Below are 13967 nucleotides of genomic sequence, written 5' to 3'. Positions count from 1 at the left end.
CAAAATGTGACCTGCAGCTGGGAGGTGACTGGTCTGACTGGACATTTATTTACTTTTATCAAAGAGGGATGATAAGAAATATTTCTATATATTAATTAAATAGAAGACAGGCTGGGTGTGGTGGCTCATGCCTATAATCCCAGCACTGTGGAAAGCCTAGGTGAGCGGGTCACTTGAGGCCAGAAGTTTGAAACTAGTCTGGCCAACATGGAGAAACTCCATCTGTACTAGAAATGCAAAAGTTAGCCGGGTGTGGTGGTGCATGCCTGTAATTCTAGCTACTAGAGGGGCTGAGACACAAGAATCACTTGAACCCGGGAGGCAGAGGTTGCAGTGAGCCAAGATCATACCACTGCACTCCTGCATGACACAGTAAGACTGTCTCAAAAAAAACAAACAACAACAACAACAAAAAACCACACACAACAACAACAACAAAAAACATATTACTAAAGTCCACGTGTTGGGGGAAATAAATATAAAGCTTTTCTAAAAAGCTCTATATTGTTAGTTAATGTATGATTTGAAGTTTTTAAAAATTTTCATCAAGGAATGCAAAACCTTTATGCAGGTCTCTTTATGTTTTACTTAGCCTGTTAAATAGGAGAAACGAAAAATATTGTTGGATATTGTAAGGATTCTTCCTTACAAATGCCTTCTCTTCTAAAATATGGAATCCATAGTGGCATAATTATTTGCTCTCTCCAAGTCAGGATCCATGAAAGACCCAGGCTCATGGCTTAGAAAAGCAAGATCCCAGCTCATTTGGCTGGTCATCTCATAATACATAAAGGGTCATACTCTGAATTGTACTTACTGGTGGATTTCTGATGACTGGTTTTGTGTAAGTGTAAACTGTCTGGATTAAGAGCAGAAATAAAGGTGGCCTCAACAAAAGAGAGTAGAATCAACTGTCTCTTTGAGAAAATAAAATATAACGCCCGAGTGCCAACAAACTGTCTTCCAAAAGTCCTTATTCCAGGAGCTTGGCTGTTCTAAGCCTTGACTTCTATAGGGACCATCCCTTCAGCGGCCTTTATGCAGGACAGCTGGCACTTTATTTTCCTGCAGAGAAAAGCAATTCCATTCTCCCCAGGTGGCTGGAGGCGTCATTTCTTCTTGTACCAGTACGTGCCTTCTTTTCATCTAAGGATCCCTGAAGCGTTTTGCAAAGAATGAAGAAATACTTGTAGATAACAGAAAGCATGTTACCCCATTTTACAGATAGAGAAGCCAAGAAAGAAAGACTTAAAAAGCAAATGAACAAAAAGCCATTTTTCAAGTATAGCAGGTGATACTTTCAGGCAGAAGACAGAAATCGTGGCTGTAGTTCTAATGGAGTGATCAGATTAAATTACTATTCATAGGCACATTTTCTTGGCGTCTTCAAAATTAGACCTGCAATTAAAACATAATTATACTTTGCTCTTTAGTGGTACCTTTCACCCAGGGAACAGAAAGTGCTTTACAAACATTAATTAAGCAGCACAACACCCTATGAGGAATGTAGGAATTATCCTGCTCTTAGATATGGTTTCACTGAAACTGAAGAATTTAGTAATTTATCTATGATCGCTATGGGAAGTGTCATTCAGTATTCCATAGGGCTGAAGTCTTTCTGTGGTCTTATCCTTCACTTAGAGTCTTTTAAATGCCACAATAACCTTTTATGAAAAGTATTTTTAACAACTTCTTGTTATCAGCATTTTGTGTTTCTAAATTTTTTTAATCTGTGCTTTTGTGAATGCTTTTAATTATGTATCTATTATAAATTTTAAGTCAGAGATTAAACATAGGGAACTTTTGGTATTTTTATTCATTAGAGTGCTCTAAATAAGATCTCAATGTTATCTTTTATTAAATTTTTATTGAACTATATTAAAGTAATACAGAAAAGTGCACACATCATAAATATAAGGCCTGATACATATTCACAAAGTGAACACACCTATGTACCAGCCAGCACAGAGCATTACAAGCACCCAGAACCCTTTCATCCTGTGTCCCCACTTCCAGTCACTGCCCTCTCATAGGTAACCACTAGCCTGCATTCTAGCAGCATAGATTAGTTTTGCCTGTTTTTTTACTTTAGGTACATGGAATTACACTATAGGTGGTGGTTTTTATCTCTCTTCTTTCACTGAGCATTATGTTTGTGAGATTCATCCATTTTATTGTCTGCAGTCATACTAAGTTTATTCTCATTGCCATAGAGTAGTCAATTGCTTAAATATTCCACAACTTCTTTCTTCTACTGTTGATGAACAACTGGGTTGTTTCCAATTTGGGGTAATTTAAGTATCATTTTTAATGGTATGTTGCTGCACACACTCTTCATCAATTAGGTTGAAATAAATCAAGGGTATTCTTTTCACATGCATTATCATTAAAACCAGTGTCTCAATTGTTCATTGAGAAAAATGAATGATGTGTAATAAGGGGTTACTAGATGTCAACTATGCTTCTAATAAAGAGGATTGAGGTCTTAAGAAGCTGTTTCCCAATTGTATACCTCCAATATTGTTATATACCTCCCAATTGTATACCTCCAATACCTCCAATATTGTTTCCTTTTAAGATATATTAATGATGAATATACAGTGGTCAATTAATTCAATCTTGGCATCTCTGAAAGAGTTTATCATAGATGGAATAAAAAAGCGGATCAAATATCATTACAGACATGCTCCTTAAACTACTTGACTTAATGTATGGTTTAGCTTAGAAAATTGTTGGTATTTAAAGCTCAGAATTCTGTGGAAGTCAAAGCTTGGGCAGGAAATTGCTGTGAGATCTTGCATTTATTGGATGCTACATCAAGAGCTTCATCTTAAATGGTACTTTAGAGATGATAATGATTGACATGAACTGAATAAGAGACGTGGATATTCTTTTGCTTGATTCTCATAGGGCTACTTACCAATTAACTACATTTCTCATATTCCTGAATTGACATTAGAAAGTCATTTGTCTAAATCCATTATCCCTTTGTCACCACCTTTTCCTATTCTGTCTTCACCTATCTCAGGAAATGGTACACAGTTGCTCAGGCTAGTGAGCAACACTCAAGCCTGAGTATTCTTGACTCTTTATTTACCTCACACCCAATCTATCCAAAAATTCCTGCCAATTCTATCTCCTAAATATTGTGTGAATCCACCTGCTTTTCTCCATCCCATTGCCACTATCATACTTGGGTCCACCAATATCGTCCACCTGGATCACTTCAGGAGCCTTTCACCTGATCTCCTAGCATCTGTTTCTGCCCTTTTACCATTCTACCAGTGTGTTGAAGCTAGAAGTAATCTTCTAAAACAACAAATCAGATCTATTTTGTTTCTGCTTAAAACCCTTTAATGGTTTCACACTGAATCTGAAGTAAAGTCTGTAATCCTTAACTGAGCCTTAAAATTGACTCTTTTCTCTTTTGCTTCTCTGTCTTGATGGTTTCATGCTTTAGCCACACAGACCTCCTTTCTGGTCTTTGAATGTGTATGTCTTTTTTCACATGCTTTTCTCTTTACCTTCTCTTCCCTAGCAAATTCCTTCTAATTCTTCAAGTCTCAGGTTTAACGTATTTCTTCAGGAAAACATGATCTCATGAGTTCCTGCGTTGAATAGTTGGGTTTCTCCACTGTATCCTCTCATAGCACCGTCTACTTGTATTTATAATATTGTTCATACTTCACATTTTACATTTAATGATTACTTTCCCTAGTAGTCTGTAAGCTTTATGGGAGCAGTGGTTTTGTCTATTTTGTTTACTTATATATGTCTATTACTAAGTGATCAATAAATATTATTGACTGAATCATGTATTTCTATAGGATAGGATTAAGTTGTTAACATATCTCCAAAAGAAACAGTGGACAAGTTTTATCTCTTGAGAAATGGTAAAATGGTATTTTAAAATAGTGAAGTCATTGAAGGAAATTGTGTGTTGTTTGTGAAACTAAGGATGGCAAGCCCCTCAAAAGAGACTATAAAAGTTTCATGCTGATACTTATTTATACCATTTTTCTTGATTTATTTTGTTATCAATAAATAGAGCTTAACTTCACAATATAATTTAAGCAAAAGCAACAATAAAATACAATGTATATGGTCTTTGATAACTCAGTAATGACATGCAGCAGAAAAATATACCCAAAGGAACTCCTTTTCCAGAGTACCTATTCTAACCTCGTAATGACTTGTCTTCTTTATATATTGAGCATCTGCAAGATGAGAGATGATGCCTCTTTCTCCCCTCTGCTGCATCAGCTGTGTGCAATATTGGCTCCTTATAGTAGTGCACAGGAATCACTTCATTTAGAATCTCCTGGGGTTTTTAGTACAAGTGCAGATTCCTGCTCCCATCAAACATTTAGTGAATTAAAATCTCTCTCAGGGATGAGGACTAGTGAACCACGTTTTTTAAGAAGAACCAACATTTTAAAGTTGTCAGCTTAGTGCCGAATCATTACAGGTATAGGAACTGACAACAGGCAAAATGATGTTAACTTTAGGGAATACAGAATTACAATTTTTTCATGCCTTTGTCAGTAAGGTCACAGTGTCAGCCATAACCTTGAAATAAGCCTGAATCTCTAGCATGGTAGGAGTCATAGAAATAATGCTAAAAGGACCTCAAAAGATCATTTGGTTAAGCTTTGAGCTTCAGACATATTTATACCCAAACCACACATGACTGTTAATGGTCTGTTTCCTTGCTGGAGATGTTTAAGGACAGAGAACCCATTAATATATCTGGGTTTTACCACTGAGACAGTCAGATAATCCCTAGGTGATCCTCTTTCAAGTCAACTAAAACCTTTGGGATTTATGTAGGATTTCTTTCTTTTGCTTGGTACTTAGTAAACACGGAGAACAACTAACACAATCATGATCTAAAAATACTTATATATAGACATCCTTTCCTCCCTCAGGACTGATGCCGAACGGTACTTCCAAACTCAGACTTATTGAATTAGAAGAAACCTTAGACGCTACTTAAGTTGAACTTTCTCATTTTACAGACAACTAAACAAATGCACAGATTAGCATCGTTCAGTTATAAATCTGATAGATTTGTAGGCATATTTCAACACCCCAAATTAATTTTTATCCTGGGTTATATTTTTTCCACTGTGCAGTTAGAAAGCATCTGGTTCAAATTCTTCTCTATCACTTACTGCCAGTATGAGTTCAGCACATGATTGGACACACCTGAGCTTCATTTTATCATATAGTAGAAGAAGATAAAATCTTCTTTGGGTACAATTGTATTGAGAATAGAATGAGATGTAGCACAGTTCCCAGAATATAATAGGTGCTCAGTTGGAAAATGCATGTGTTTGTTATTGGTACAATTTTTTGGAAGGCAGTTTGGCAACATATATCAAAATGTAAGATATGCATTCCCTGTGACTTGGCAATTTCACTTATTGTAAACCAGGTTCCACATGCAAAGTTCAGAAACCTCTTATAGAATAGCTCACTATTAGTTACATGTGGGACAGAACTTATTTACTCAAGGAAGAACGCAGAGTAAAGTCTTGATATAACCCAAATACTGTAGAACAGTGATACTGTCCTTTGACAACCTTCTAGAAGAATTTAACTGCATTGAATTTACTCATAAGAAAAGTAGTAATGATAAATAATGAGAGGTAGGTAATAGTTTATTTAATGCATATAATGTGCCAGCTCTAAGCTTATTTACTTAATCTCTGCAATAAATGTTCAATGTAAGTATAATATTAAACATATTTTAGAGAGATAAAGCAACTTGTGCATCTTGTGGGGAACAGTTGAGTGGCAGGGATTGTCATAATTAGTGGTTGAACAGATGTTGGTTTGATTCTGCAGCCAAGTGCTCAAATCTGTAACTCAATTCTGTGGAGATTTAAAATAAATAAGTTTGTACCAAGGCCCGATCCCAGACTTTCTGAGCTAAAAAGGTGAAAGACAACCAAGGTTGAGAACAACTGTCATAACCATTAGCTTCCTGTCACTCTATGCCCTTATTGTGGTCTACTTATTAAAAAGATAGAGTCAGCCCTCCACATTCATATGTTCTTTACCCATCAAGTCAACCAATGGCAGATTGAAAATATTCGAAAAAAAATTCCACAAAGTTCCAAAGAGCAAAGCTTGAATTTGCCACGTGCCACCTACTGTACTGAATCCACAAAAATGAAGTGATTTATAGACATTGTATAAGGCATTATCAGTAATCTACAGATGATTTAAATTTAGTGTGTGGAAGGGCCAGACACGGTGGCTCACTTCTGTAATCCTAGCACTTTGGGAGGCTGAGGCGGGAGGATGATATGAGGCCCAAAGTTTGAGACCAGCCTGGCCAACATGGCAAAACCCTATCTCTAGTAAAAATACAAAAATTAGCTGGGTATGGTGGTGCACATCTGTAATCCCAGCTGCTCAGGGGGCTGAGGTACGAGAATCGCTTGAACCTGAGAGGAAGAGGTTGCAGTAAGCCGAGATTGTACCACTGCACTCCAGCCTGGGTGACAGAGCAAAGCTCAGTTTCAATAAATAAATAAATAAAGTATATGGAAAGATGTGCATAGGTTATATGCAAACGCTATGCCATTTTATATAATGGACTTGAGCATCCATGGGTTTTGGTATCTGAGAGGGGTCTTGGAACCAGTCTTCCACAAATAGCAGGACAGTAGTGTACACTACCGTACATATGATGACCATCAATTATTCTTGCTCTATTTTCACCCATCGAACTCTTCATATAGCATCTCCAAATTGCCTCAGAGTGAGGTCCCCATGTGAAAGACCTTGATGAAGAAACCTAATTAACTACATATGCACTTGAATATTTGTTTTACTTACTAATGATTGGGTGTAGGTTTTCTTCTTTCCCCTCTTCAAGAAAGCTGGGGTTTTGAGGCAGCCACAGACTGCAATATAAATATGAGGAAGAAGGGAGGGAAAATCTTGGAAAACTCCAAGGCCTGACATTTCCCAGACATGCCATAATTTGCTTTTGACCTTGCTCCAAAAGGCGTGGTTTCCATAACAGAATATGTGTAATGTAATGTGACCCTACTGCAGCAGTTCCGCATTAGGCTTCAGCCTTTCCTTTCTTACAGCCTGGGACTGCATTTCTTGGTTCTACCTTGCTAACGGCTAAGACAGGAACCGGTGCCTGGGCCCTGCAGTCTCCGCATACTACCCATCTTCATGGCAGCTCCAAGTTTCAATGCTGCTTCCTTCTCTACCAGTATCATAGATTGGGCGGAAATAATGTGTGCCCCAGGTTATATGTGTAGTTTACAAATGTTCATGAATTATATCCTCCTTATAACCATTTCTGCCTGGTAAAGAATCAGGGACCTAGAATAGTTTTTCTTTACATTTGGTAGCAGAAAAGATTGAGCAAGATTTGGGAGGTGAAAGAATCTCTCAAAGCAGCATGGGGATGCTCACAGAGCTAGACAGAACTCACTCTCAGCAGTTCCAATCTATCAGACATGATTACCTCCCCATTTGCCTTGTGGGCCGTCTCACTCCACGTGAATCTTCTGACCCGAGCTTCCCTCCTGAAACACACAACAAGGTTGGAAGAGGGGTCAGCTGTCTGGGTGATTTGGCAGTGCCTTCCATTAAGACTGCTTCTTTCTCCATAATGATGAAATTTAATCTCACAGTTTAAATGCTTGTTCCAAAATATTTCGAAATGTGAAATACATATGAGCCAAATGACAAAAATGTTTTTTTAAAAAACAAAAACATGGGCTTCTTGTCACCCACCACACTAGCTGTTTCGATGTCTGTTCAGTCAGTACATTATTCTTTCTGATCTTCATTTCTGATGATATCCAGATGGTCTAAAAGTCAATCTTTTCCGTGTGAGAGAAATTCTCTGTGAAGTTAAAAGTGAGTAGCCGTCATATTCAGATGGTGTGGATAGGAATTAAGTGGAATGATATAAGGGTTGTCTGTATTCAATTAATAGTAATTGATATTTAAATAATTACAGTGACTATATGTTCACCTTGGAGTTAGGCTTTATCATTAATGTTCTTAACTCTTAAATGGAAACTGTATCTTTCTCCTTAAATTATAGGATACTTGTAAAAGCCAAAATTGCTAATGTTAACATTTCTTTCTATTTTCCCTAACTCTTCTAGAATTAAAATATTGTTTTGGTGGGTTTGAAGACATTCTGTAGGAAGCTTACCCCAGGTGGATGCTGAGGGCTTGAAGTGGGTCACGTTGTCAATTATGGTGTTTAAGGTTTATTCTCTTTCCTTTTAAATGTAACCTTAAAATGGCTAATTAATAATAACTTATAATGATAATATAATTTTTGTTTGTCATCATCACTTATCACACTTTTAAAAGAAAATAATGATTTTCATTTTTAAAATGAAAATATCAGTGTCAGCCTCTATCAGTTCAGTGTCTATCATAGTGCTTAGCACTGGATAGACACTTTCATGTATTATTTCATTTAGTTCTTTTTAGAACCTATAAGATGGAACATAATTATCCATATTTTATGGATGCAGAAATAGAGGCTGAGAGAGTTTCAGTAATTTCCCTAAAGCTACACAAATTGTGAGGATGAAAACCCAGGAGAGTTGGACTCCAAATCCCGGCTCTTTCCACTTTGCTGCATAGTTTACCAGATGAAAAACCTCCATAGACTATGTTCATATGGAGCAAATGAAAGGTAAGAAGCTTTCTTACACCAGTTGCTTGTTTACTGCTAGAATCCAAATGGAAGTAGGTGATGCTTCACTTTCCCTTCCCATACACAGATATCTTCACACCATGTTCTAGAGTGGGGATCCTCAGCCCCAGGCCATCGACCAGTCCTTGGCCTGTTAGGAACCATGTCACACAGCAGGAGATGAGCAGCAGGTGAGCCAGCATTCCAACCTGAGCTCCGTCTCCTGTCAGATCAGTGGCAGCATTAGATTCTCACAGGAGTGTGAACCCTATTGGGAACTGCACATGCGAGGGATCTAGGTTGTGTGCTCCTTATGAGAATCTAATGCCTGTTGATCTGTCACTGTCTTCCATCACCTCCAGATGGGACCATCTAGTTGCAGGAAAACAACCTTAGGACTCCTACTGATTTTACATTATGATGAGTTGTATAATTATTTCATTATATATTGCAGTATAATAATTGTAGAAATAAAGTGCACAATAATTGTAGTGCATTTGAATCATCCTGAAACCAACTCCCCACCCCCACCCCCACCCCCAGGGAAAAATTGTCTTCCATGAAACCGGTCCTGGTGCCAAAAAAGGTTGGAGACCACTGTTCCAGAGAACAAGTGTTAAATAAAATTATAGGATGCCATTTTTTTTTTGACTGAGCTCCTGTGCCATACCCCAACAGACCAAACTAAAATGGAGTCACTCATGCTAAGTGCCATATGACTAAACTGAAATTTCAAGGAAGCAGGAAAATCCTTCAACAGACTAGTTTGTTTTTGTAAAAACAGGAGATTCATAGCAAACAATTGGAAAGGGCCCAGTTAACCTGAGCCAGCAGAGTATGCCAGCTTTAACCCTTACAAGAAACTAACCTGCTATTAACCAACCCGCTTTTAGTATTATTCTATTTCCTTGTCCCTGCTTAAGCTGCCTTATAAAAACCAACTGTTCCGCCATGCTCAATGGAGCACTGACTTTTTTACGGATGCAGTGTTGCCCAATTCATGAATCATTAATAAAAACCAATTAGATCTTTAATCTCAGTTTGTTGAAATTTTTTCTTGATATAGGTTAGTAGTTGTTGATTTTCTTAGCGGCTAGGGTGTGGGAGAGAACCTTACATAATTGTCTATTGTATGGTGGATACTTAGAAATGGAATTTCAGAAATACATTTAGTTATAAAAATTGTAATATGAGGATTTGAAAAATACTCTAGGGGGAAGAAAACTGCAAAATGGATGCTGTCATATAAGAACTGACTATGAATGTCTCTAAAGACCTAAAAACTCACACTTCGCCTTTTCTGTCTTCCCCACTCCTTCTCTCCCCTTTTCTCCCTCTCTCCCATGCTTCTGTTTTTATTCTCACTCCAACTCTATAGCTTTCTCATTATAAATGATTTTCTTTTCTAACTCACCAGAAAGATTTAACACACTCCACCGGTATAAGAACTCATGACTGCAGTAAAAGGAGGTGGCCTTGGGCAGCAATACAGAGTTTGCAGTTACTTCCTAGATCCTTCCTGCGGTCCCCGCAGTGTGGTCTATGAACCAGCAGCATTTGTCATTACCTGGAAGCCAGTTAGAAACGCAGAATCTCAGACCCCATCTTAGACCTAAAACATCAGAATTTGCCTCTTCACAAGACCCTCAAGGAATGTATATGCATATTAAGTTTGAGAAGCACCACCCTAGCTAAGTCTAATTGGTCTTTCCCTCCAGAGAAGAATCACTACTTTAAAGGGAGAAGGGATTTGGCCGATGACATTGGTTTCAGGGTCCTTCTATAGTTAGCTATGGTTAGGACTGGGGCTGGTCTGTGGGTGGGGAGACACGTGTTACTGCAGGTTATAGAACAGGACTGACAGTGCACAGGTAAAGTGTCTGATGGGGATTCTGGTTATCATTTCACTACCACCACTGATAGGGTTGCCATAAAGCAGGTCCTTTGGGGCCTGGGCTTTTGTAGCAGTCATGTCCTCAATTCTCCATCAATAGATACACACACATACACATGCACATATACATACATCACATATGCATGCTCCTGCCCATGTCAAAAATAGTCACGTGTGCTCCTAAGGGAAAAGGAAGAGAGAAATCAAAATCCATTATGTATCTGCCACATGCCAAGTATTGCAGTAGGTGCTTTCACTAAAAAACTAGAGAGAAAATATCAGGTTATTGTGAGCATGCACTCAATTACTAGCCAGACTTCATTAAGCAGAACCTCTGCATATTTAATAGATGTTTAACTGGTATTTTTAATGATAACCTCATTAAATGATTAAATTAAATGATGAGATCCTAAAAATCTAAGTCATAAAAAAGTAATTATATTAATTAGAACATTCATGTTTATAATATCATCCTAAAAGTCAGTTTCCAAGCAACTTCAAATGCAAAAAAAATATATTCTAGCCTAAACATTATACATTTAACCCCAGCGTTAGTGGCTTGAAAGGGACCCTCTTTCCCAAGAGTGGTTTTCTGGAGTTGGAGACTGTGCTCTGAGTACTGTAATTTAAACAGTTGTTCCCTTACCAATCTCTAGGAAGCCTGTCTTTTACAGTATTTCTTTCTTACATAACAAGTAAAAGTTTCCCAGAACTTACCCTCTGCAAGGACCGGTATTCCTGGCATGGGATTGAGTAATTCTCATATTCTAATCCTTTAATGCTCTGACTGGCTGGGTGATTTGGGGATGTCACTGAATCCCTTTGGGTCTCAATTTTGCCCTCTGTGAAATGTTAAAGTGGTGGGTTTGACTGGGCTCTAAGTTCCTTTTCATCTCATACATATATTCTGGAATATATGAACAGGATATTTTAAAATAGAATACGTCAAAGATTTAAATGGATTTGGCTGGGTCTTCCCACATGCTTCCAGCACTTCCATGCACCCAGAGTCTTCATTTCCTAAAACACCCCTCCTCTTAGAGGCTTGGCTTGTGTTAGACATCAGCTTAGCTACTGGGCAGAAGCCAAACAGCCTCCTGGTGGTGAGGTACTAATTGATGATCACTAAACAAAGAATCTTGTTCTCGTGATGACACCATGGCTTCATACATAGATTTGAGTATCTGCAGTCGATTAATAGGTGGCACATTCAACATGTATTTTTGTTTTTAGAATGTTTACCATATATTCAGGATACAGTGTGTTCTAACTATTTGAAAATTATAAACTCATTGATGGTATAGGAGCGTAACTCTCTGCAGTACCAAATTTTTGATTGGCAACACAAGCAAGAGAAAGAACATAAGCTTTGAAGTTAGAAGGATTTGTGTTTAGATAGAGCCCCTTACTAGGTGAGGGGCAGCTCTGGTCATGACAATCAAATTCTCTGAAACTCAAATTCCCAATCTCTTATGTAGGGGTAATGATATCTACTTTGTAGAGTTATGATAACGATTCAGCATAATGTATACAATGCTCCTGTCACGTAGATGCTCAATAAATGTCTGCTATTGTTTGCAACTAGAACCATGGTTCTCAAGTGCGAGTTTGTGAGCCAGTGTGATCTTTGGCATCATTTTCACCCTTCCAATAGTGTAATATATTTGCAGGGTACATAGTTTTTCACAAATTTAAATTTATATCGTGTTTCTTTTTACACAATGATATTGAGAGTAACAATTAATGTTTTTAACTTATTTAGCAAAAAAAGAGGTAGTTTTAGGACAGCTAACCACATTTTGCTTGTCTAATTTGTCTGACCTATGAATCCAAAATAATAAGATTCATTGAATTAAGATATCTTAATCATAGTGAATATTAAGATCTACTGAATCAGATGATTTTCAAAATTGAATCATTTTAATGAGGACAATAGAATTCCCTAGCTACTTCATGCTACAGCCAGTTACTGTCTCCTGATTTCCTATTATACTTATCAGGATAACAGTTCACGCTTGTGTGTGTGTGTGTGTGTGTGTGTGTGTTGTTAGCACCAGTGCTCAGTGTAGTCTCAGGTTCTTGTATCTTCTCAAAAATATTTTGGAGTCAGACACAACAATGCAAAAAAGGCAGATATTGTTGTTATAGAGTCTGGACCCTGTAATCAAACTGCCTGGATTCAAGTCCTAGATCCACCACTGGCTAGCTATATGACCTCTAGTAAGTAACGTACCTTTTCTGTGCCTCAGTTCTATCATCTATCGCATTCTGAAATCAACAGTACCTATGTAATAGGGTTGCTGTGAAGGTTGACTAATAAAATCCATGTAAGTATTTAGTGTAATACCTGATATATAGTAAGGACTCGATAAATAATAGCAAAAACAACAAGCAGATACAGAGAAGCGAATCAAACACTTGAGAATTGGGGAGTTGGACAGGCTTAAGATCCACCCACTTCCATCACCATCCCCTCCTTTTTGATTTCATTATATGACTTTAGGCAAGGTAGTTAGCATCTTTGCATCTGATTTTCCTCATCTATATAATACCTACCTCACACATTTATTGTTAGTCTCAAATAAGCTGTAATATGAAAATTACTTAATATTGTGCTTGACTCATAGTTTGCACAATAAAAGCTTTACCTACTCCTTTTACAAATCTGTATTTCACACAGCCCTGCCTCTGTACTTTTTACATAGTAATAATTAATAGGTATGTCTTACAGCTCTGTACCCATCGTTGTCTCATTGCCTCTCACCTGCGTTCTCAGTTACTCTATGAGAGAGAGGAGAGCCTGATACTGGTTGCGACCAAGGTTAACTAGATCTGTTGGCCGTTCCTTTGCTTTAGCCAAAATTGCCTCCTGATAGACTTCTCTGATTACAAGAGAGTTTATCAGGAAGGACAGTGGATTGGGACAGTCTGCGACTACTTGTTAAAGTTGGGAGGCTCATGGGCCCACACTCTTTTAAAAACATGCCATATTTTAAGAAGATTGTGTTTGAAGTCTCTCTCTTCCCTGAGAACTCCAACCTCTAATTCTTCCTTTATGTGACTCTCACATTATCTGTTCATGAGGCCAAGGTGGACTTCCCTATTAGACTTTACCACAAATCCTGGCATGCATGAGGAAAACTTGTGAGACATATTTTTGGCCTTAAACTGATAGATCCCTCAAGTTAAATAAGTTCCACGTTCTTAAGGAAAAAAAAAGTAATGCAATTTTAAGAACCGTTTTGGAGTGAGATAAAGTTTCATTTTCCCTGCTGGAATTGAGAGAATAAAGGAATGAGTGATTATAGAATAAATAGCCAAAATAGTTTTAAATATGTTTAAAAACCTCTGCCTTCATATGATGTTCTAATATATAAG

The sequence above is a fragment of the Homo sapiens genome, chromosome 4 (assembly GCF_000001405.40).
Source record: "Homo sapiens chromosome 4, GRCh38.p14 Primary Assembly".
Taxonomy (NCBI): Eukaryota; Metazoa; Chordata; class Mammalia; order Primates; family Hominidae; genus Homo; species Homo sapiens.
This window is presented reverse-complemented; position numbering follows the sequence as displayed.